The sequence below is a fragment of the Homo sapiens genome, chromosome 13 (genome assembly GCF_000001405.40).
Source record: "Homo sapiens chromosome 13, GRCh38.p14 Primary Assembly".
NCBI classification, from domain to species: Eukaryota; Metazoa; Chordata; class Mammalia; order Primates; family Hominidae; genus Homo; species Homo sapiens.
The window spans coordinates 57,486,615-57,513,671 of NC_000013.11; the positions used below are offsets into that span (position 1 = coordinate 57,486,615).

The 27,057-nt window shown below is 34.7% G+C and overlaps 1 long non-coding RNA gene across 1 annotated transcript in view, besides 1 other annotated feature; it reads right to left on the reverse strand.

The window, feature by feature from the left end:
• LOC105370217 (uncharacterized) overlaps positions 1-27,057 on the reverse strand; it is a 62,771-nt gene that overhangs the window by 29,154 nt on the left and 6,560 nt on the right. The window contains exon 2 of the long non-coding RNA XR_941983.1: positions 1,546-1,775. This is a non-coding gene — a long non-coding RNA (uncharacterized LOC105370217). The remainder of the gene's footprint in view (positions 1-1,545; positions 1,776-27,057) is intronic.
• Positions 5,821-6,115: a silencer, noted in NCBI's record as "tiled region #8499; HepG2 Repressive non-DNase unmatched - State 2:TssF, and K562 Repressive DNase unmatched - State 5:Enh". NCBI's record gives its function as "represses a minimal TATA promoter and a strong SV40 promoter by Sharpr-MPRA in HepG2 and K562 cells {active_cell/tissue: HepG2 | K562}" and the evidence as "EXISTENCE:reporter gene assay evidence [ECO:0000049][PMID:27701403]".

The following is a 27,057-nucleotide window of genomic DNA, read 5'->3' on the forward strand; positions in this document are numbered from 1 at the left end:
ATTAAATAAAAGAGTAAATGACTTGAAGAGACATTTCTGCAAGCATACAAATAGCCAATAGGTCTATGAGAACATTCATCTTCAGAGAAATGAACAATAAAACCATAATTTGATGTCATTATTCCTATGATCCTAACAAAACATCTATTAACTATAAAAAAATAAATGTTGGCAAATATGGAAAAATTTGAGCTCTTGTACACTGTTCAGGGGAATGTAAAATGGTTCAGTCACTATGGAAAAGAGTAGGGAGATCTCTCAAAAAATTAAAAGTTGAAGTGTCATGTGATCCAGTAATTACTCTCCTGAGTATACAAATAAAGAAAACCAAATTAATATTTCTAAGAAATATTTGCACTTCCATCTTCATTGCAGCAATATTTAGCCAACATGTGGAAAGAAACTAAATATTCATTAATGAGTGATTAGATAAAGAAAATGTGATATATCTATCCATATATATGGCTGAATAATATGACATACATAATTATAAAAGATGAAAATCTACAATGTGATACAATAGAATTAATCCTAAAGACATTACACTAAGTGAATAAGCCAGTCACAGAAGGACAAATACTGCTCTACTTATATGACATAACTAAAACAGTGAAACTCATAGGAGCAGAAAGTACAATGTTGGGTGCCAGAGGCTAAGGATAAGGGTTCCCCCTAAGGAGTTGCTATTTCATAAGTATAAAGTTTTTGTCATTCAAAACAAGTTCTAAATATCTGTCATATGACACCACGCCCATAGTTATCAATATTGTATTGTACACTTGATTATTTGTTAAAGGGTATACCTCTGGTTAAGTGTTCTTAACAGCATGCATGCTAGAATATACCAGAATATGTAATGCTAACAGAGAGAGAACAGAATTACAAAACAGATGTTTTTGCCATCAACAAAATGGCAAAGTCCTTCGCTATCATTAATCACTTTAAGTGGATTACACTCCCCATTCGAAAGACAAAAAGAGACTAAATGAATTTTTTGAAAGATCCATCTATGTTTTGTACAAGACACTCACTTTAGATTTAAGGACACACATAGGCTGATAGTGATAATCTAAGCAGTGGTAATCAAAATACAGCAGGGGAAGCTAAACCTATGTTACACAAAGTAGAATTTAAGTCAAAAACTGTCTGTCCCAAGGGACAAGGAAGAATGTTATATATTGATAAAAGAGTTAATTCACCAGAATGATATAACAATCATAAAAAGTTTGTCATGAAAGATGAAAAAGTTCCAGAGATCTGTTGTCCAACATTGTTCTTACTGTTAACTATACCATATGTACAATTAAAAATTTGTTAAGAGGGTAACAGAGTGTTGTTGAAAACACATTTCATGTTATGTGTTTCTTACCACCATAAGAAAGAGAATATCTAAGTAAAAATAACTAAAACTATGAAAAAATTAAAACTTACATATCCAAATGTTTAAAATACAATAGTTTGTTTATTCCATTACAGATTGTGACAATTACCCAGATTCTTAATACTTTTTTTTTTTTTCGGTCCTGCAGTTCTCAGCATACTTACTTGGAATTTAGCTGTGTGTTCCCTTAAGACTGCATGATGACTTTCACACGTTTAGGCATTACATTGAGAGTTGGCACCTGACAATAGGTCTTTTTATTTTCCTAGAAGGTCTTTATCAAATTTCTCATGCCTATTTGCCAGTGTAGGACCATATGTCATAAGCTTTTGTCCCAGCTGCTAGGATGACTTGGAAAGTATCTGCCAACTTCAGACTCTATAGTGGTAGATGTCTACAAATCAATAGGATACAATAAAATAGTTAAAATAAAATAATTAATATCAAAAAGAATAGGAAAGAGAGAAGGGATAAGGGTAATATTGATTGAATAGAATTGGCAACCAATTCTATACACTTCTTGCTCTGGACCATCGTCCACAAAGCATACTTGAATATTTATGATTTACTAATTATACCATAGGCTATGTTTCCAAATTTACATATACCAAAAATGTAAAAATAAAATGTGGTTTATGTTTTTCTTACTAAAACTTCTGATCTCTAAAGCTGTTGCTGCATAAAGTACAAGGAAAATAAAACAAAATATAAGATCCTGTCAACTCTGTTAAGTTTAGCCTGAAAAATAAACCCTCTTTTTGGGTAATTTTTACTAGCTCACCTCAGGTACTGTCTCAGTATTTTAGATCTCTATCCATGCCTCATTATTTCTAAGTATTCCTCAGTGTGTATTTTAGAAATAATTGCAAAGGTGGCTTTAGCATGAAGAAAACATGTGGGACCCTCATCTGCATAAACCCCTTGCAACAATTTACAATTTTAAATTCTTTTCCTCAAAGATTTCTTCCAAGACTCTATATGCATTAGAGCCCACGAAACCTGGATGCTTCACAGAGTACGTATTACACAATCTCATTACAGCAGAAATCAGGTAGGGTCCTTGACTCATCTAATAGCCTCTGAAAACACAATGGTCTTCACATAGGCATGGCTTGCCTACAACTTACACTGGTCATTTCCGAGATTACTATTCTCATCTGGCTTTGTAGGACAGGAAAAGGGATGTTATAATTACATTGTGATCATTTATTTTCAGTCTCAAAGTAGCTGCACACGATGGGCTAATTGCTTTTAACTCAGTCATCCTATCAGTTTCCTAATTATCCCAAACATTCCCTCTGCATCATGTAAGTTCATATGTCACGAGTGGGCCTTCGGAAAACAAGAATGTTGGTTTAGACTCACCTCCCAATCCAAACTACACTGCAATACAATAGTCCACACCATTGTAGAAGTGAATGTGTTCAGAATACATGTAGAGGCTTTCAGCCTTCCCTGGCATATGACCTTGGATGTTTGCATGGGGAAGTCTTCAAAGGGATCTCCTTACAGAATCCAAAGAAGAGGTGTCAAAGTCCTTCTGCATTAAATATTCCCTACCACTCTTCCCTCTCCCAACCTGTGGCCTGAATGAGTGAGTTAGGAACACTGATTATAACCCTTAATTTTGTCACTTTTATTGGTCCACAATACTTTGAGCTGCAGGCTTCATATCTCATTAAACAAAGACTTTCCAACTTTTTCAAACTTGTATCCATAAACGGTAAACCAGAAAAGTGTGTGTGCATGTCAAACTGAAAACAAACAAAATATTATAAGCAATCTTTCTTTTACTTTGTACATAGCACTCTGCTTTTATAACCTAGTCAATTTCACTTTTTTAAAATGTTAGTCGTGACCAGAAAACTGATTTTAAGATCTACCAATGAGTGTCTACCTACCGTTTAAAAATTACTGTCCTCTCACACCCTCCTACTACCTGCCATACGGCAGTAAAGTTCATAGTCTGGCTATAATTAGAAGAAACTCTACAATATAATAGACCACTAGACCTAAATCTTGATGTGTTATGTGAGAATTAAGAAAATCGTAAAAAAATCATTTAAAAAAAATTCTATCTGGCTTTCACAGAGATTATCTGGCTAAAAGAAGAAGAAAAAGAGCACTGAGGCCTTGCTTGAGACTCAAAATAACTTTATCCTTAGTAAAAATTTCAGGCTTTTTGCGGCATACATCTCTGTTTCAATTACTCAATTCTATTTTCATAGCATGAAAGTGGCCATAGACAATATGGAAACTAATGAATGTGGCTGTGTTCTAATAAAATTTTATTTAATATAACAGGAGTTTGCCAACCCTTGTTCTAAATAAAAATATTGTATTTGTTTATTTCATGATACTTAACATATTTTGTAATTATTCATTTATTTGTAGATTTATCCATTTTTCACTTTCTCTTCCTCCTTGACTCTAAGCTTCATGAAAGTAGAAGTGTCTTTTTTTTTAAATTTTATCTTTGCATTGCAGTTCCTTGCACACAGTAGAGACTCAATAAATACTTCCTGTATCTGTTGTTAACTACTCAGAAGATCATCAGAATAACATTCTGATTAAGCAATGGTAAATTTATTTGATTTATATGAGAAAAAAGAACAGCACATAAATAGAGCCTTAGCAGTGCTTCAGATAGACATAATGGGAGATTGTTTATAGGGTTGTGTGGCCTGGACTGTGTATGTTTTTCATTTTTTTGGTTTGTTTTTGTTTTTGTTTTTGTTTTTGTTTTTGTTTTTTTTATTTTGAAACAAAATAAGTTCACAGGAATTTGTAAAAATAAGACAGAAAGGTTACATGCACCTTTCATCCATCTGTCCTAATGGTACCATCTAGATAACTGTAGTGCAATATTAAAACCAGAAATTGACATTGGTGCTATCTACAGACATTATTCAGATTCCACTAGTTCTTATAAAAACTCGTGTGTGTGTGTGTATAATTCTATGCACTTTTATCACATGTATAGATTCATGTGAATTCAAGCACAGTCAAGATACAGAAGTGTTCCATCACCACAAGGATCCCTCGTGCTATACCTTTATAGGCACACCCATTCCTCCTGCCAACTAATGTCTGACTAATTTGCTTTCAATCTTTATAATTTTGTCATATTGAGAATATTGTATAAATGGAATAATACATTATATAATATTTTCAGATGGACTTTGTTCACTAGTGTAATGCCCTTGAGAACCATCCAAGTTGTGTGTACCAACAGTTCATTCCTTTTTTTATACTTAAATTATATTATTTCACTGATGGACATCTTAAGGCTATTTTTCACCTGTCAGTTTTGGTTCTGAAATCCTTAGGTAAATCATTTGTATTAAGTTATGAGATTTTCTAACATTTTATTTAAACCACCTTTATTGGAGAAAAATGTTGATACCTTAACTGTTTGTAAGAAGTATTAGTTATTTCCTTATGTAAATAATGTGACAATTATATGTTTTGTGTATTTAATACAACTATTTTCCAGCCCTCATTTGCTTACAAAATGCTGAGTCAGATATCGTATCCTCAGTGCCCAGAGAAGAGCTGGCATATAATGTGGTGTTCAGTAAATATTTTTGACCAAATTAATAAGTAGGAAACCAGAAAAAAACTAAATAATTAAAATTATAAATAAATCCTGGTTTCCAAAGATAAAAATTGTTCTAAAATAATCTTTAAATAAATTTATCACCTAGAATACTATAATTGGTAGTTACCACGAATTAAAATATTAACAGTGACTTTGCAGCTTTCTGTTTCATCACTTTGTATCTCAGTTTTCTCACTTACAAAAAGCAGAATCTTAGCCAACTTCCACTGTGTTTTTCAGCTTAAAACATTTATGATATTACAATTAAAAAACACTTAAGAACTCTAGACATATTTTAATTTGTGTTCACTCAAATAATTTTGCTATTCTGGGATCATTCTAGATTTAGAGACAAGTTGCAAAGGTAGTACAGAGAGTTCCTACACTTGTTGTCATGACTGTTAGACTTTTGCAGTTGTGAATAGCTCCCTTCTTTGTACTGATGAGTGGAATCCTACTATATGTATGTGCCACAGTTTGTTTAATTATTCACCTGTTGAAGAATGAGACTGTTCCCAGATTTTGATATTAAAAATAAAGTTGCTACGAATATCAGTGTACAGGTATTTATATGAACAGAAGTCTCTGAGATAAATGCCATGAGTGCCATTTCTGGGTAGTATGGTTAGTTTTATAAGAAACTTTCAAAATATTTTCAGCAATGGCTATATCATTCCATCAGCAATTTTTAAAAGATTTGAAGTTTCTCCACATCCTTATCAGCATTTAGTATTATAACTATTTTATATTTTAAGTGTCCTAATGAATGTGCTTTGAAATCTCATTGTGGTTTTTATGTTCATGTACCTGAAGGCTAACGATGTTGAACATCTTTTCATGGGTCTTATAAGGTGGAGAAGTGGTTGAAATTGGGCAGGTTATGACAGAGTTTATAGCTTTGGTTTGGTGGCTCCAACAAAGCCTAAATATTGAAGCAGAGTATTGATAAGAAAACTGTGGAACGTATACACCATGGAATTACTAGGCAGCCATAAAAAAGGATGAGTTCCTGTCCTTTGCAGGAACGTGGATGAACTTGGAAGGCATCATTCTCAGCAAACTGACACAGGAACCGAAAACCAAACACCGTATGTTCTCACTCCTAAGTGGGAGTTGAACTGTGAGAATACATGGACACAGAGAGGGGAACATCGCACACCGGGCCCTGATGGGCTTGTTCTTTTGGCTTAGGATTGTCTTGGAAATGCGGAACTTTAAACTACTTTAAAGTTCATATGGAACCAAAAAAGAGCCTGCATTGCCAAGACAATCCTAAGCCAAAAGAACAAAGCTGGAGGCATCATGCTACCTAACTTCAAACTATACTACAAGGCTACAGTAACCGAAACAGCATGGTACTGGTACCAAAACAGAGATATAGACCAATGGAACAGAACAGAGCCCTCAGAAATAATACCACACATCTACAACCATCTGATCTTTGACAAACCTGACAAAAACAAGAAATGAGGAAAGGATTCCCTATTTAATAAATGGTGCTGGGAAAACTGGCTAGTCATATGTAGAAAGCTGAAACTGGATCCCTTCCTTACACCTTATACAAAAATTAATTCAAAATGGATTAAAGACTTAAATGTTAGACCTAAAACCATAAAAACCCTAGAAGAAAACCCAGGCAGTACCATTCAGGACATAGGCATGGGCAAGGACTTCATGTCTAAAACACCAAAAGCAATGGCAACAAAAGCCAAAATTGACAAATGGGATCTAATTAAACTAAAGAGCTTCTGCACAGCAAAAGAAACTACCATCAGAGTGAACAGGCAACCTACAGAATGGGAGAAAATTTTTGCAATCTACTCATCTGACAAAGGGCTAATATCCAGAATCTACAATGAACTCAAACAAATTTACAAGAAAAAAACAAACAACCCCATCAACAAGTGGGTGAAGGATATGATCAGACACTTCTCAAAAGAAGACATTTATGCAGCCAACAGACACGTGAAAAAATGCTCATCATCACTGGCCATCAGAGAAATGCAAATCAAAACCACAATGAGATACCATCTCACACCAGTTAGAATGGCGATCATTAATAAGTCAGGAACCAACAGGTGCTAGAGAGGATGTGGAGAAATAGGAACACTTTACACTGTTGGTGGGACTGTAAACTAGTTCAACATTGTGGAAGACAGTGTGACGATTCCTTAGGGATCTAGAACTAGAAATACCATTTGACCCAGCCATCCCATTACTGGGTATATACCCAAAGAATTATAAATCATGCTGCTCTAAAGGCACATGCACACATATGTTTATTGCGGCACTGTTCACAATAGCAAAAACTTGAAACCAACACAAATGTCCATCAATGATAGACTGGATTAAGAAAATGTGGCACATATACACCATGGAATACTATGCAGCCATAAAAAAGGATGAATTCATGTCCTTTGTAGGGACATGGATGAAGCTGGAAACCATCATTCTCAGCAAACTATCTCAAGAACAAAAAACCAAACACTGCATGTTCTCACTCATAGGTGGGAATTGAACAATGAGAACACTTGGACACAGGAAGGGGAATATCACACACTGGGGCCTGTTGTGGGGTGGGGGAAGTGGGGAGGGAAAGCATTAGGAGACATACCTCATGTAAATGATGAGTTAATGGGTGCAGCACACCAACGTGGCACATGTATATATATGTAACAAGCCTGCACGTTGTGCACATGTACCCTAGAACTTAAAGTATAATAAAATAAAATAAAATAAAAAGACAACTGTTTAGTTTGCTCATCATCTTGAATTTCAGTAATATATTTATTGGTATGTGTAGCTAAGTTATTTTTGTCTGATCCCATTACTGTTTGGGAAAAAGACAGGAAAATATAATTTTTCTTTTAAACGTGTTTGATACTGGGTCAGAAAAGTAAATTTAGTAAAGCAATAAGAGAATATTTTGAAATCGTTTATCAACTGATGAGTATTTAATGGCATTAATTATTTTGAGGTTTTACTTGTTTTTTCTTATAATAACAGTATATTTGAATGTGATAATCAAAAATTACTTTAAATTCATCCAATTTGTGTCCAGGCCCTGTGGCTCACGCTTGTAATCCCAGCACTTTGGGAGGCCGAGGCGGGCGGATCACGAGGTCAGGAGATCCAGACCATCCTGGCTAACACAGTGAAACCCCGTCTCTACTAAAAATACAAAAAATTAGCTGGGAGTGGTGGCGGGCGCTTGTAGCCCCAGCTACTCAGAGAGGCTGAGGCAGGAAAATGGCGTGAACCCGGGCGGGAGAGCTTGCAGTGAGCCGAGATGGCGCTACTGCACTCCATCCTGGGCGACAGAGCGAGACTCCCTTCCCCGCCCCCCCAAAAAAATTCATCGAATTTGTAAATTAGAATAGTAAACAATAAAGATACATTCTATGCACAGCCCCTTAGAGATAAATAACACATTATAAAAGTCTTAATATTTTATTGGCAGAAATTAGAACAATTTTACTTTCATCTCTTATTTAGCAGGTTACAGAACTGAACTTATCACAAAATTAACACATAAGTAAATACACGGCTGCTATATATTGAGAATTCTTGCTTTGGAGTCCTGGCTTTGCCACTTACCAGATGTCTTTCCATAGGTAACCATTCAAATTTTTTTTAATATACTTTAAGTTCTAGATTTTCTTCCTGAGACTTTGCTGAAGTGGTTTATCAGCTTAAGAAGCTCTTGAGCCAAGACTGTGGGATTTTCTAGATACAGAATTATGTCATCTGCAAACAGGAATAGTTTAACTTCCTCTCTTCTTATTTGGATGCCCTTTATTTCTTTTTCTTGCCGGAATGCTCTGGCCAGGACTTCCAATACTACTTTGAATAGGAGTGGTGAGAGTGGGCATCTTTGTCTTGTGTCAGTTTCCAAGGGGAATGCTGCCAGCTTTTCCCCATTCAGGAGGATGTTGGCTGTGGGTTTGTCTAGATGGCTCTTATTATCTTGAGGTATGTTTCTTCAATACCTAGCTTATTGAGAATTTTATTTTTTTTATTTATTTTTTTTTTAGCAAGACAAGAGAAAAATGTTTAATTCAGTGATTAAAACAAAGTAAAATAATTTTCAAAGATTTAAGAAAATGATAAAACACAGACTGCTGCTGGGAATGTAAATTGCTATATCCTTACTGGGGAACAATTTAGTGACATGATCCTATATCCTTTGATCCATTAATTCCATTAACAGCGTAACCTAAAGAAGCAAAATGTGAGCACAGGTTTCTGCCTACATTTCTCATTGCATGACATTTTTTTTTTTTTTCTGAGACAGAGTCTTGCTCTGTCCCCCAAGCTGGAGTGCAGTGGCACAATCTCGGCTCACTGCAACCTCCGCCTCCCAGGTTCAAGCAATTCTCCTGCCTCAGCCTCCCGAGTAGCTGGGACTACAGGCACATGCCACCATGCCCGTCTAATTTTTTTTGTATTTTTAGTAGAGACAGGGTTTTGCCATGTTAGCCAGGCTGTTCTCGAACTCCTGACCTCAGGTGATCTGCCCACCTCGGCCTCCCAAAGTGCTGGGATTACAGGAGAGCCACTGAGCCTGGCTCATTGCATTACATTCTGAAAGCTCTTTGAGGGTAGGGGCTTTGTCTGCCCTACTGACCACTATATTCCTAGAACAGTTCCTGACAACAACAAAAAGAGGTGTGGCGATTCCTCGAAAACCTAAAAACAGAAATACCTTGTGACCCAGCAGTCCCAGTACTGGGTATACACCCCGAAGGAATATAAATGGTTCTGTCATAGACACATGCATCTGTATGTTCGGTTCTGTCATAGACACATGCATCTGTATGTTCATTGCAGCACTATTCACAATAGCAAAGACATGCAGTCAACCTAATTGCCCCTCACTGGTAGACTGGAAAAAGAAAATGTGATACATATACACCATAGAACACTTTGCAGCCATAAAAATCCCTATTTTTCTTCATTAAGCTTTGCAAAGAGGTTTCTTTTACACTGACATTTATTTACCCTTTACTTTAAAAAAATGTGAATTAAAACTATTTCTTCAAGGGTAACTTTTGTGAACAGGTTAAATAGAGAGAAAGTAATTTCTTTTTTCTAACAATGCATTGTGTATATCATAATTCCAGTTTTAAAGCTGAGACCAAGATTCTTGAAAATTATTTTACTGTAAATATAATTTTTGGATAGGTTAACACTAGCTAGAGTAGTACTCTGGTAGTAATACTGCCCCAGAGTAATACTATTAATACTAGCTCTATTAATTTTGTAAAATTTCACTAAGTTCAAACATATTTCTATTTTTTGACTTGACTTAGTTTGTTTTTGTATATACTCATCATAATGGTATTTTATCTAATCAGTGGTACTGAGGTTTATTTTATGTTTGTAGAACTTTTGTTAAAAGTGCAAAAGCAAACTGCAAAATGAGGTTTATAGCCAAGAAGAAAATCTTCTTGTCATATACTATTGTAATTTCAAGTTTTTAAGCAGGTACTTGAATAAAAATGATTTACAAAGGACAATAGACAAATTTAAGAGCTTATTTTTATTTGATTCATCTTCATTGAAAATTTCCTTTCTTATACTATAGAAAGGGGAATAGATGCCATTTAGCCTTCCTCTTCCATACATTTTCTTCAGTAAATGGCAGCAGGACTCTGTCCCTCCTGGGGCAATTATTAAAATAAATTAATTTTCTTTTGCTTTAGATGCTTTGCCTTTGAGATGAGCAAGGATGAACGCAAACCCAAGTAATTTTCTAATTATCTATGTTAATTTTATTGTTGCTGATTTAATACATTTGCAGTTGCTGATACATTATTTTAAAATTACATCCTAAGCAGCATAAGTCGGATCCTTTTTCCTCACAGATATTGTGGCATGGAAAAAGGCTAAGAAAATATTTGTTATATATTATTATTTATTGCACAGAATCAAAAAGCAATATTACAACAAGTCACAGAAATAATTCCATATAGAACCAAAACAATAGATCTTATATAACCTCTGTCCCCTTAAGGGACATTTACTATAATGAAATTCTACCTGAATTTGAATGAAAGATGCCATAAGGCATACTAAAGGTGAGAATGGCTGCAGATCTCCATCACACACACACACACACACACACACACACACACACACACACACACACACACACACACACACAAAGCTTCCAATTCCTACCAGAAACTCAATCAGTTATTTAATTTTAAGATATTGGGGTACATCATAAAGAAATTAGTTTAGCGCTGTACTGTCATTTTGCCAGAGGGGAATGGCCTTTCTCATTTCATATACATGGAAAACATTTCTGTCTCCTCTTTACCAACTCAAGTGCTACCAAATTTTTAGAAATGTCAGACAAACCTCACTTTTTTGTGTAAAAAATGTATTTGAATAAACCATTCTAAAGGAATTTATCTCTTTTCTGAATTTGGTAGCAGTTAAAGCATGAAACACACAATTTGGTGCTTGGAATTCTTTTAAAATCCCATTGATTTTTCAATGGTTTTATGTAAGTTAATTTTGTCTGACCATAAAGAAAGTAGTTTTTTAAAAAAGGATTATTTCTTTTAGTACTTTTAAATCAACCAGAGATAGAGATACACAAGTATGTGTTCCACTCGTTGATTTTTTTGAGGGAATTGGGTAACATTTAGCACACCAAAGGAAATAATTTCTAAAATTTGATTTTAGAGATTTGAGAAATATTGCCTGCTCTAAAACTTGAGAGACTTGTACTCTTATCACGAAGCATTAGAGCAATAGGAAGTTTAAAAGTTTGCGTCTTTCTTCCTCCCTTTCTTTCTCTCTCCTTCATCACTTCCTTCTGTCCTTCCTTTCTTCCTCCTTTATTTCCTTGCATTCTTTCTTAATATTTTTCTTTAAGACTTTACTCTTTTGCAATATTTTACTTCAGTGATGAAATATGTAACAAGGGAATCTTCAAAACTAATTATATGGTTATAAAAAGAATTTTGATAAGCAGTGACTAAAATATGAAATTGATCTTCAGGCAGTTTTTCATTTTATCGTCAACATAACTTCACTGTTTTCTGTGGGGGGGGAATTGAGAAATGTAATTTTATGAGTTCATTCAGAAATATGACATACTGTTTTTCAAAATGCTTGCTTTGTGTCAGTAAGTTAATATTACTGAATAACCTGACAGCAGGTCAAAACAGCAGGCTAGATGAACAATCAGGGTGATTACATCTTTCTACATATTCTTTGGAAAAAAGAAAGGACTTTAGTCAGTCTGTATATTTCTGGCATTCTAACTTTGGAAAAGGATATCAATTTCAGAGTAATGTGCAGATGATAACTTTCACACAACAGAATTGAAGTGAAATTAAACCATTGAAATCATTTTATTTAAAATGTAAAGGCATTAAACCAATCTCTGTGGGACATATGTAAATATAGTTAGGTAAGATTCTCTATCACACATTATTGATAAAAAGTGCATAAATGCAAAATTTCTTAACTTTAAGCTTTAACATGTGTTGGATCTTAATTTTTATTGACTTATTTATCCAATTGACTTACTATTTTACAAATAATTGCACTGTGTTAATTTTTAAGAAGGTATGCTTAATATATTGAGAAATATGATTTCTGCATATTAATATTGATCAGTTATATACCAAAGATCAGTGTATTTATTTAATGGGATAGAGTTGCATGGTATTACATTTGAAAAAACTTTGAATTTATTTTCTGTAACTCATTTGATTGAAAGGAAGTTTAGTATAGTTTAATGAGATATTGTCCTAGCAAATTAGGACACCGCTTTTTATTCATCTGACCACAAAATAAACATATTTAGTTGTTTATTTTCTGGCTGCTATGCTTGATACACTTGTTGGCATATGCTACAGGAGTAATGCAAATGGAAGTGATTATCACTGATGTGGAATAAATGAATATGTCAATTCTACAATCAGAATATTGATTATATGTTATCTTAGTGCTTCATAGTTTATGAAGTTTTACACATGATCTTTTTGACCTTACTAAGGAAAACTGGGGGCAGGGGTGGGGAAGTTAATAGAGGGGAAACATGAAGAAACAGTGAATGAAATTACTTAGTTATGGAAAATAGAATAATGTGCTCCCAAGGATATGCATGCTTTAATTCATGGAACTTGTAAATATGTTAGGCTACATGGCAAAGGGGAATTAAGCTTGAACCTAAAATTAATATTGCAGATCAGCTGGATTTTAAAAAGAGAGATTTTCCTGAACTTTCTAGTTGGGTCAGTGTAAGCACCAGGGTCCTTAAATGTGGAAGAAGGGGACAGAGGAGAGGTTCAGCATAATGTGATGTTAGAAGAGCCAACCAGCTATTGCTGGCTTTTTAAAGATGGAGGGAAGGGACCATAATCCAAGGAAAGCAGAGAGCCTCTGGAAACTGGAAAAGGCAAGAAAACAGATTTCCATCTAGAGCCTTCAGAAAGGAATGTACCCAAGCTGATACCTTGACTTTAAGCCTTGTTTTTTGTCCATTTGTGCTTCAATAACAAAGTACCATAAACTGGTTGGCTTGTACACAATAGAAATTTATTCCTATAGTTCTAGAGATTGGGAAGTACACGATCAAGGTACTAGCAGATTTGGTCTCTGGTGAGGGCCTGTTTCCTGATTCATAGGTAACTTCTCATTGCATTTCACATGGTAAGTGGGACTAACAACTCTTGGGACCTATTTTATAAGGGCACTAAGCCCATTTGTGAGAGTTTGGTCTTTACAATCTAATTATCACCCCTAAGGCCCCACCTCCTCCTACCACCACATTGGTGACTGGGTTTTCAACATATGAATTGGGGAAAGACACAAACTTCAGAACATAGCCATTCCAGAGAGATATATGTTGATCTTGTGACCTGCAGAATGGTGAGCTAATAAGTTTGTATTGTTTTAGCCCCTAACTTAGTGGTAATTTTTTGCAGCAGCAATGAGAAACTAATGTACCAGTGTTCCACTTTTATTGGCTAAAAAATCACGATTATTCTTCTAAATTAACATCAGAATTTTTGTGCATAGTAAGAATAATATATATTTTGTCAGTTAGCTTCACTTATTGCTTTTATTTGTTAATTTGGGGAGAACTGGAAACACTATTAGCAACCATTGGAGTCCTTAACATTTTGGTTATTTTTCACTTAAGAAAAGATACGGCTTTATTTATTAAAGCACTTTTTACCTCTCAGTTGATTTTTTTCCTTTAGATACTATATGTTTCTTATTAGGTTTTATCTTTATATTCCATTTTTTTTTAAATTTTTATTCTGAATGATGTTTTCTTATATTTTATTTTACTTGATTTTAACTGGTGTTAATTTTTTGTAAGTTCATGTTAAAAATCGATCAAATTTCTGAATTTTGTTCCTCTTTTTAGTAGTTTCTCAGCTGAGTCTATTGGTGTCTCAAGGTATAATACCCTTAAATAATATTTTTTCTTCCTCCTTTAAGGTGTGTTTTCTTTTTTTAAAAAACGTCTTATTGTGTTTGTCAGTACTTCCAGAACAATGTTAAGTACTATTCAAGATCATCAATATGCTTGGATTTTTCCCGACAGTAATCAAACTATTTCGAGGGGTTCATCATTAAGTATGATACTCAACTATTCAGCTAAATATGTTTAGGTGAAACAAAGTTCTTTATTTAAAATAAGAAAATATATTGACTATTCTTACTGATATATTTCTTTAAAGATGAAATCATACCTTTTAACACCCAATAAAAAATGATAAAAGCATTCTCTTTCCTACTGCCATGAAATCTATCTCTAATCCCTTATTTTTACTAAAATGTTCTTGCACTTTTCTGGTGCATTATGTTTTTGCTATAATTTTTTTCTTAATGTATTTTTTCTTTTAAACTTAGAACACTTTCATTCAATTAAATAATTACAAGGCACCACAGAGAATATGATTATTCTTTGTCATAATAACAGTGTGTTCTTTCAGTCTGCAGATGTTTAGCTTTACATCTATGTTTAACTAAACAAATGGTTCCCACTATTCTTTCATGTAATATCTTCCTTTATTCCAACTTCTTTGTTTACTTTTTAAATTTTATGTTGTATATATTTGATTATCAAGTAGTATTTTCTTTCCTCCATCCTCAAGAAGAGCTCTTAGCTGTTATAACTTTGGAGTCCTTTTGTGTATACCTTGCATTTTCATTGTTTTTCTGCTTTCATTAAACTTGGATGGGTGTAAATTTCTAGAGTAACACTTATATTTCTCCTCAGATATTGGTAGATGTTACAAAGCCTTTGAATATTGTTGTGGAAGAATTAAATTAACTTGATTTATTCCCCTTAGTGGTGACCTGCAATTTATGTCTTACTGGCCATAAGATTATTTCTTAATTGTGAATTTCACCTGGAAGCATGCCTATGTTGATTCTTTGTCATAATTACAGCGTGTTCTTTCTATCTGCAGATTATAAATGCCCTCATCTAGGAAAATTTCTTATTTTCTATACTTGATTATGTCTTCAAATTGACTTTTTGAAGTTGTTCTCTACTTCTCTAATCTCTTTGCTCCATTCATCTTATTTATTGTGTAGTCTGCATTATTTTCTTCACCAGCCAAATTCCTAATAGGTGCCCATCAGTGTGCCAAACACTATGGCTGTACAATGAGAGTGAAGATATTTCCATTTTCTTAGAAAATTTTCCATCGTTTTATTGCTGAAAAAGATTGACAACTATTATTCATGTGTTTGTTTTAATTGTATGGTCATAACTAAACAAAACAAAACAAAAAGCTAAATTTAGTTTGCAACCCTTATGTAGGACTTCAAATATACAAGCTGCATGTAAGATAATGATTAGTCAATTGGATAAACATTCTCTGTCTATGTGTAAGTACCTTTCTACTCTACACACTACAAGCTTTGAATAGCACAGAGATGGAGTCACATACTGTTATAGACTGTAGTGTATGTTAATAATCTTGGTAGGCAAAAGTGAATGAAGTAGATGTCCAGACAAACTCCTAAAGTTTTTCAACTTAGGGAGAAAAAATCAAAATATGGAAGATTGAAGAGGGGAGTTTCTCTAGCAAGTAGAGACAGAAAGCAATGAAAAGATGGGAGAGCACATTTTTTATTTTTTTAAGGTTTAATTCACTTTAATTATAAAACAGATGATAGACTATAGAGTACAGCAAAGAGACTATTAGCAACATCTTCATGTCTGTGACTTGCATTGGAAGCTGCTAATTTTGTTTAATTGCAATCACAATGATATCTATTGTTTTAATAATTCAACTTAAAGGTAATGAATGAGTTGGATGCTTCTGCTATACTTCCAATTCTGGTCCTGATTCTTATTTTTATTTTAAATATTAAAAAATTTATGACTAAAGCTTCCAAGTAACTCTCCTCCAGGACCCAGGCCTTTGCTAGTTATTGGAAATCTGTACTTCCTTAATCTGAAGAGGCCGTATCAAACCATGCTAGAGGCAAAAAATAAGTAATTGTTCATTTTATACATATTTATAATTTCCTAAGTATTTCTTGCCTGTGTGGTTTCATTAGCATGTGTATCTTAAAAACTGGTTTACATATGTGTAATGAGGTGATTAATATTCAAAATAAATAGAGCTGCTTTAAATTGAGTAGTTGTTTTTAAATTTGAATATATAAAAATTTACTAAATATAATTCTATTTAAAATGATATTTTTATCCTGAAATATTTATGACATATAACCTTTATGTCAAATACTTTGAACTTTTTTTTAATGCATTTTTTATTTCAGTTGGTTTTGCAGGAACAGGTGATGTTTGGTTACATGAATAAGTTCTTTAGCAGTGATTTCTGAGATTTGATGTACCCATCACCCAAGCAGTGTACATTGTACACAGTGTGTAGTCTTTTATCTCTCACTCCCCTCCCACCCTTTCCCCCAAGTCCCCAAAGTCCATCGTATCATTCTTATACCCTTGCGTCTTCATACCTTAGGTCCCTGTTATGAGTGAGACCATACGATGTTTGGATTTCCATTCCTGAGTTAGTTAACTTAGAATAATTAGAATAATGGTCTCCAATTCCATCCAGGTTGCTGCGAATGCCATTATTTCATTCCTTTTTATGCCTATTATTCCATTTTATATATATATATATATAAATGGAAGATATCTATATAAAATGGAATATATATAAAAAATGGAATATATATAAAATGGAATATATATATAATGGAATATATATATAATGGAATATATATATATATATATATATATATATATATATATATATATATATATATATCACATTTTCTTTATCCACTCATTGATTAATGGGCATTTGGGCTGGTTCCATATTTTTGCAATTGCAAATTGTGCTGCTATAAACATGTGTATGCAAGTATCTTTTTCACACAGTAACATCTTTTCCTCTGGGTAGATACCTAGTAGTGGGATTGCTGGATCAAATGGTAGATCTACTTTTAGTTCTTTAAGGAATCTCCACATGGAGATTCCATGGTGGTTGTACTAGTTTACATTCCCACCAACAATGTAAAAGTGTTCCCTTTTCTCCACATGCACACCAACATCTATTTTTAATTTTTTTTTTGATTATGGTCATTCTTACAGGAGTGAGGTGGTATGGCATTGTGGTTTTGACTTGCCCCTGACAATTAGTGATGTTGAGCATTTTTCTGTATGATTTTTGGCCATTTGTATATCTTTTTTTGAGAATTGTCTATTTATGTCCTTAGCCCAATTTTTGATGGAATTGTTTTTTTTTCTTTCTAATTTGTTTGAGTTCCTTGTAGATTCTAGATATTAGTCCTTTGTCGAATTTCTAGATTGTGAAGGTTTTCTCCCATTCTGTGGCTTGTCTGTTAACTCTGCTGATTGTTTCTTTTGCTGTGCAGAAGCTTTTTAGTTTAGTTAAGTCACATCTATTTATCTTTGCTTTTGTTGCATTTGGAAAGCAAATTCTTAAATAAGGCACTATTATTAGTAGGCAAATGTACAAGTTTTATTTACACATTCCTTCACCTCACCTCTGATAAGTTTACCCTGAGGAATAAAGGGTAATAGTGAGGAACCAATTTTTAGCAGTCTGTTTGGAACATATTTTGAAGACTTTTCCCCCTAAATTATAATTCTCTTTTTAATTCTCCAATTTCAGGAAAGGCTACTGCACATATAGCACATTTACACTGGTGAACTATGGTGGGTAATTCAGTTTGGGGACAGAAAAAAGAACAATTTGGCATTATCCTTGAGTCACCTTTCTACTCAGGCCCCAGCACTGGGACTAACATCATCTTAAGGGAGAATGGAAGTAGTGGAATTCTAGACTGTCATAGCAAGGAGCCATGGGGAAATGAGAAACCTCTTCTCCACGTAAGAATTACCTTGGTTTCTTATTAAAGACACAGATTCCCAGTAGGTCTATAACTTGAGACCTGGGAATTTGTATATTAGCCAAGACTCATATTATGATGAATTGTAATTATAACATGATTATAATTATACTTTCTAATTATAATATAATTATATTTATATGATTAATTATATTTAATACATAAATATGTTATATATTACATATAATTATGATTATTTTGTGAATATCTGAACTGCAGGCTGTTTCATCATTAAAATGACACAAATAAGGCAGTTATAAGTGTTTTCATTTTCACTGTTGTTTGTGTGTGTGACAATACAAGTGTGTTGCCATGCCGGCATCTCCTAAAATTTGTATTTATTTGATTTACCAAAAAATGTAAAGTATAAGTTTATTTTTTTCCACAGGCAAAACTTGGTCCCGAGTGGAATAACATTTTAATAATGCAAAAGCATGTTTCATTTGCAATTAATTTGTTCTGCAGCAAATTTCTGGAACTCATCATTTCAATAAACAAGTATAACTGCCATTTATGAAAAGATAAACTAGAAACTTTGAGTATTATACAAATATATAATCCAAGGAAATATATTTAATTCTATTTTCAGATTGGTTCATATATGTTCTCATATAGTCATAGCGCAAATTTTTTCAGAAGCAAACACATGAAACATTTTGTTATAGTATTAAGTGTAAATGCAATTCCACTATCAATCTTATATCTAAGTATTTCAATATTTGACATTTAAGTGAATTTGGAAAATATAACTAGACTAAGGTAGATTACACTCTCAGCCTATGAGTCATCAGACTTTTCATATTTCTAAATAAGTAATGGCACAGGTGGGTAGTCAGGTATCAGGCACACATTGGAGTTTGCTGTGCAGACTCAGTGAGTGTGCTTGGAATCAATGACTACAGAATGTAGGGGAAAGAAGCTGGATTATGCAGAGGGATAAGTCTTGAGAGCAAATCTATAGTCATCTTCAGATCTAGAATGAACCATCAGAATTTTCCTATTTGGGACCAAAACAGTCAGACGCTTATATTGTTCCTAGATCAATCACTGAATATGGGCTGTTGTGGTGTCAGTGTGACTTGAAAGAGCCAACTCTCCATAGGAGAGGCACTCCCTAAAGGAGCTGAGAGTAGAGGACCACCTTCCAACACCAATCCCATCAGGACTCTCACTCCTTCCTTTAACTGGAATTTAGGGTACATGATAGTGTCCACTACAGTTCACCCTTTGTAATGTTGGATCCATTTCATATGCATTTTGATGGCAGTTCTTCCAGGTATCAGATTGGCCTGTCTTCATGGAGAATCTTTTTTTTTCCTTCACCCCAGGGGAGCTAAGAGAATCTTAGAAGTGGGAGGTTAGTAAGAAAAGTACAGTCCCCAATGCCTCGATGTGGCAACAGATATTTGTCTTCTTTCACTCTTATCTATTCCGGAGTCTGCTCCCCATCAGCTAGCACCTATTGCCAGTCTTGTAGTATTTCCTGTTAGCATGACACAGACCTTCATCTCCAAGGGGTCACCTTGGAGGATTAATTCACTTATCAATTTCAGAATTTCAGTTTGCCCAATTTCAGAATTGGGCAAAGGTGTATGAAAAGACATGCAGTGAGTTATCTAGGTGCCCAGTAGGCCCACCTCCTGCTGATGATCTGGGTCAATTATCCATGACAGATTGGTGACTCCTTTTATTGCCTTCTGGTCCCTTATATGAAGTCTTGACCCAAGAGTCAGGATGCTCAATTAGAACAATGAGTCAAACTAAAGTAACCATCAAGTATTTGGTTACTTGCTCTGACTGTGTAAGCAAGAGACAAAATAAGCACTGGCTTCTCAATGTTCCATTTTCCCCTATGGAACAGAACCCAGTGAGAGTCAGGTGGATCAGCACAGATAGGGGAATTGAGTCAGAGTGGAGAAATATCTTAGTCAAGAGCTCCTGATGAGGAGGTAAAGCAAAAAAGCCTCAGCTCAGGCCACCTAATAAAGAGCCCTTACAATGGTGGTGCCTGGCCTAGGTATGCAGATATGTATATAAGCATGACTGGCCTGGGGAGGGGGTCTGGGTCCTTGGCAGCACTCCCTCCAGAACACTGGAAGGCTGTGGCCTTGCACTACATCTACAGTGGATGGGACAGATTTCTCACATGACACCTAATAGGCAGACTATTTAATTGCCTGTCTGAAAAATCATACCAGATTTTAGCCTGAAGCTGAATTCCTCACCAAACAGGATTAGTCTCCTAGATTTCAATATGACTTGCTGTTTCCCTTGCTGGAGTGTTTCCCCCATTGAGAACTAAAATTTCTAATCCCGTAGAGCCTAGATGTTCCGGGATAGGAAGTAAATACATTCATGTGCTACATAATGATGTTTTGGTCAACGACAAACTGCATATACAACGGTGGTCCCATAAGATTATAATCTTATGGGATTATATGTGCATACTGTATGTTTATGAACATTTTTTATACCTAGATATGATTAGATATGCAAATGCTTACCATTGTGTTACAGTTACCTACAGTATTCAGCACAGTAACATGCTGTACAAGTTTGTAGTTCAGAAGTAAGAAGCTATACTAAATAGCTTATGTGTGTAGGAGACTACACCACCTAAGTTTGTGTGAGTGTACTCTATAATGTTTGCATGATGACAAAATTGTCTTAAGATATATTTATCAGAATGCATCCCCATCTTTAAGCAACATCTGTCTGTATTCTTCCAGAGACTATTGGAAATTATGGTCACTTTGGCTTGTCTTTTTCCATGTGGATGTCTTCTCTATAAATTTCCCCTAAAGATGACATAGACTCATATAAATATCTTCACTTCAAAGTGTATATTGCATCTTGGAAGATGGTTTCCAGTCCTCTTAAGGTCTCACTTCTGAGTTGCCAGTTCAGCTTTGCCATCAGAATACCATTCCAATTTTCTATCAGAACAACAGCTTCTAGGTCACGTGACTTAATAAGTTGACCTGGAGTCATGGCTCATTCACATATATCCTTTCAGACAAAATCATATCATTGTTGGAAGCAATATTTTTTGTCATCCCATACCATTAGATCAAATACGCTATAAGCCCTCTCCTGCAGTGGTGTTGGTTGAGGTCCTGTGGGCAGATAAACCAAATCCATGTCCATAATATGTCTCTATTCTTGTCTGAGTGAACTCTAGCCTGAAGGGTGGAAGGAGATTTATGTTGTCAACTTAGCAGAGTGGCTTGTTTGTCTCCTCAGTGGTTTGTGCCACGTTGCAGACTTAGCATTTCTACTGCTGACAGGTTGAGCACTCAGCACTGCAATAGCTTGATTAGCTTTAAGTGGGAGCCCATATTATCAGGCCATTGAAATGACATCTCTGCCACCCTGACCATATTAATGGAGTGGTCATGGTGGCAGACCTAAGGTTCCAGGACTGGGTGGCTGATGAAAGAGACTTGCTGAAATAAACAGGTGACAAAATAGTTTTGCTTAATTGGTGGTTTAGTGTCACCTTTTGTGATGAATGCTTTCTGGTGGGTGTTAATATGATACAAAAACCTTTACACTTTCTCCCCACTCCTATGTGTCCATTCACAGGCTTCTATGTAAAGCTTCTTTGTCCCCAGGCTTCCAATTTTTCTCAACCTAGGTCCCTGAGTAGTAGATCAGGTGATTATTCATGTTCACAAGGCAGTATATATTCTAACTTCAAACTACTCCCAAACAAATTGGAAGACCACGTGTACTGCCTGAAAGTCTACCCACTGGGAGAACTTCTCTTATAAAGTTTTTCAAGGCCACCCTTGAATTAGGCTTTTTAGTGTAGCTGCTATCCATTTTTGGCTTATATTAACTTGCTGAGAGAAACTATCCAGGAATCCAGCTCAGGCTTTTTTTCTGCTTCATCAGCTCAATGTATGGAATTCCAAATACAGCCTTAGATGTGTGCTGAGCAAGCGGCAATGATGCTTAAGTTGTTGATGGCATGGGTTCTGTGCTACCCATTCAATAAGTTTGTTTGCATCCTTTTTCCTGGTCATACTTAATTCTGGTTATACTACTTCACACTGATGGTGGATTTTTGCTGAACTTGACCAATTATATCAGTTAGAGCATCTTTTAGAACCCAGCTTATTATGGACAGTTCCAGACACATATCACGTTTTCCATATTCAGCTACTTCTTTCCTGGGCTCACTAGAGTTGTTTTTCAATAGGTGTATATTTCTGCTACAAATCAAATGACCTTGATTTAGATTCCTCAGTAATTGCTTTGTGATTTTTCCCACAGACACTTGCCATAAACTTCACTAATAGACCTAATAAGATAAGAATTGTCAGGTTCTTTGGTCCAAGTTGCAGGATTGCTTGCAAAGAAATGCAGAATGCTTTTACTTTAGATGGGGTGGATATCCTGGAAAACCTCTGGTCAATAGGCCCTTAAAAATTTTACTGATAACATAGTCCCTAAAAATTCATAGAATTTGTCTTCCACTCCCTGGAATATGTGTCTTACCAAAGCCTTCAAATTGTTAGGTACTTTTGTTCATCCCATTCCATTAGCAAGATGTCCTCTATGCAATGGATGGCATTTTTTACCTTTTATTTTTTGGGCAATCTACATATGTGGGCAAATACCAATATACCAAAAATAGCAAAATTCCAAATATTTGGAAGTGTCATATTAAAGAACACAAGAGTGAACATAGACCTGAAAAAAACTGTAAATAAATACCACATCCACTCAAATTAATAAACACTGTTTATAAGCCTCTTTTTAATATGGATAAAAATAGCATATTTGCTATTATTGATGGCTGTCATGAATTTTGGCCATGTAACTCAGCTCTAGCACAAGTACCATGTCTGACCATTGCAACTGCACTGGGGGTGCTACTAACTGAGTTTGTGGTAGTGCGAGGTCATCCTCTAGAATCCCTCCAGGTTTCTGTTAAGGAAATATTGGTGAATTAAATGGACAATTGAAAGAAATCAACACTTCAAATGGTGCTAGTTTAAGAGTGATGCAAGTTTCTACCTTCCTCTCCTAGAATGTGATACTTTTGCTGATTATCTTATTTAGGATGGGAACTGCAGTTTCAGGGGCTCCTATTTGGGCTTCCCACCATAATAGTTATTACCTCATAGACCAAGAACTTATTGTGAAGGTTGCACTAGCAATCAAGTATATCTATCTTTACCTTAGCAGATTTGGTTTGGTCTGTGGAATTAATATGAGCTGCATATTATCCAGTGATCTAGGTATTAATTAACCTACATATGCAACACATTTAAAGAGGAGACATACTGATGCTTCTAGTCTCTGGATGTCAGTGTTCACAAGAACTCAAAATGTTTGGATATCTCTCTTTTCCCAGTGTACATTAACTTGACTAAAATGGCTGGGCAAAAAGTAGGTGAATCGTTATCTTTAACATTTCCCATGCTGTTGCAGAATCTTTCTCCCAAAGGACCTACCATCCTCTTTAACAAGTGAGTTCTGAATCAAATAGTGGCTCAAATTCAGAAACTAGGAAAACAATTCTAACTTTTTAATAAAGCAACTTCCTTCAGTTTCCAGATAATCATGTTTTCAAAATGTCTTCTTGGTGTAAAAGTTGAGTGATATCATTCTTAAGCACTCACTTATTTTGACCATCACTTTTTTCATCCTTTTAAAAGTAATTTACATAGAATTCACATCATCTCCTGAGACCCTTGTTGGGATGTTAAATGCTGTATCTTGAGCTAATACTCCTCAATCAACAAATGCTCATTTATCTGATGTTTCAGCCTTCAAAATCAAACACCCTAGAATTTAAGTTCACCTGTCATGCATGTATGAAACCACTATTCTCTGTATTACAAATATTAAAAACTAAAAAAACTATAGTATCAAATGTATTATTTGAAATTAATCAATTAAATTGTATTAATGTTAGGTAGTATTTTCAGATTCTTAAGTTTATTTATCCTAAAATACCAGTATTTTGAGTAATAAAAAAGAAATGATATTTATGTCTTCTTTATATTTAAAGCAGTTAAAGCAGAAAATTTGTCCTTTATCTTTTTTTCAGCTTTGTTGAGGTATGATTGACAAATCAAAATGATATATATGGAAGGTATACAACACATTTTGATATACATATACATTGTGAAATTATTACCACGATTGAGCTAGTTAACATACCATCACCTCACATTGCTACCTTTTGTGTATGCGTATATGGGGATCTACTCTCTTAGCAAATTTCAAGTATAAAATACATTATTAGTGACCGTGCAGTCCATTCGATCTCCAGACCTTATTCATCTTATAACTAAAAATTTGTACTTTTTGAGCAATATCTCCCCTTTTCTCCCACTCCTCAGGTCTTGGTAACTACCATTTTATCATCTGTTACTGTAAGTTTAACATTTTCTAGATTGTACATATAAGTAAGATCAGGAAGTATTTTTTTGTCTTTCTGTGTGTGGCTTATTTCTTCCTTTGTATTTGTATGAATTTTTTAAGTTCATGTACACTCCCAGATTTGCTCTACACCAAAGTATGATATTACCTAAGTATGATATTAGTAACAGTGACTGTAAATAAAGTTTTATAAAGGATAAACCATAGGTAACCTCATATGATTTTCTAATATGTGTTCAGATATTTGTCTACCATTTTTTTAGCCCCAGTTGGAACTTTTGGCATGGATATGATTTAACAGTGTCTCTTCCATACCAACTGTATAAAGCTAACTGTATGGAAATTCTCCTAGAGTACTGGAAGAAATTCTGCCCTATGGGCAACTACTCTCCATGGCATTTCTATGCAACTTGTGACAGCAGTTTTTCTAGACTGTTTTTGCAAGAATATTTGCATAGTAAACAGCCTTAGAGGATTAAGATAGTATCTTCCTCACAGCCAGAAAGAAAATTTGTTTACTGTCTGGGATAATCAAGCTAATGTTTCCCTCCAGTGATAAAGTTTGGGCAAATTTTTCTAATGGTCCTGTATATAAAATTAAAATTTCCTAGTCTGAGTTCTTCAGCCACAACACAAACCCAGGATGTGTGCAGCATCTACTTGGGTCTGCCGCTTCATTGCTCCCATGGGACTTGAGAGTGTTTTCTATGTCATGTAACAAATGACCATAAATATAGTTGTTTAAAACAACATGCTTTTATTGTCCCCACTCCTCTCAGGCCTAACTGAGGAAAAATCTGTTATCAAGCTCATTCAGGTTATTGGCAGTTGTTTGTAGTTGTATGACTGAGAACCTCAGGTTTTATAAGCAGTTGGCTGGAATTTAGCGGGTACCAAGAGTTTCTAAAGGCCACAAGCAGTTCCTTGAAATATGGATTCTCCAACAAGCCTTTTGTTTTGCTTTGCTTTGTTTTGTTTTGCTTTGTTTTGTTTTGTTTTGTTTTGTTTTTTGGTCAAGCCTACTGGAAGAATCTCCAAACTGCTAAGATAGAGTGTCACTTAATGAAATAGAATCATAATAGTGACATCTGATTGCTCATGCATATGATAATCTAACAATAAAAGTGCTATCACATAGTTTTTGCCATATCGTATTTGTTACAAGTAAGTCATAATTGTCACCAATACCCAAATGAAGGGGATTACACAAATACATAAACATCAGGAAATAGAAACCTTTGTGGAAAGAAGAGGCCACCTTAAGGTCTGTTCATCACAGTGTGCAATAGGAACTGATGCAAAACTTGAAGCTCATACTGCTGGGTGTGCTGAGTAATAAAGTCTTTTGTCTCTGACGCAGGATCCCTGTGTTTTCTGCCAGCATTTATGAAAAAGTGGCAGGACAATTTGTTAGCTTGCAAGTAGGGAAGATCTCAGAACTTTTACAGCTCTTAACATGATTTGTCCCAGTCCAGTTCTGGATATTTACAAGATACTAGGAGTTTAGGGTTATATCATTCTGGCTCATTTTCCCCCTTTACTGAAAGAGGATGACCAAGAGATAGAGTTTTCCAAACTACATAGGATCTCCATCTCTACTACTACAGACACTCAGAAACTTGGTATTTTTAAGGACAAATACAGTTGTCAGCTGGTACTTCACATCCTCATGCTTACCTATACAAGGGTTCTTGAAACTATGGCTTTAATATTTAAAATAATTCATGTAGACTATACTTATATTAACAGTTTACTTAAATTGAATCTTCCAGACTTCCAGAGTACAACCAAAATGAGTGTGGGAAAGGTAATATACCAGAATTCAATCATGAAATTTATGATTGGTGACCTGAAAGGAATATAATTGCTCCTTTCTAAACTTGACAGAGTCTCATATCATATTTTAAAGTTTAACAATGTGTAATATCTTACTAGAACCAAAAAATACGCTATCAGGGTGGTTTGAAATGCAGATTGCTTTAAAAATTGTGCTAAAATGGCTTATTTTCTGCAGACTACTTAGCAATATGAGTTCAAAGATCACTAGTTGAATAGCCCATAAAAAGTCCATTATGTCATTTTATATACATCTAGCTGCCAAGCACTCAAGATCATAATAAGAAATTAAATAGTTCAAAGAAGACAAAGTTGTGAAAGTTAAGTGGTGAGACAATGCAATGTTCTACTGATAGACATTATCTCAATAGTTTATAAAGTGTTGATAACTCTTTACCAACCTGACTTAAGCATAGTCTTGCCCCATTGCCTAAGCAATACATTG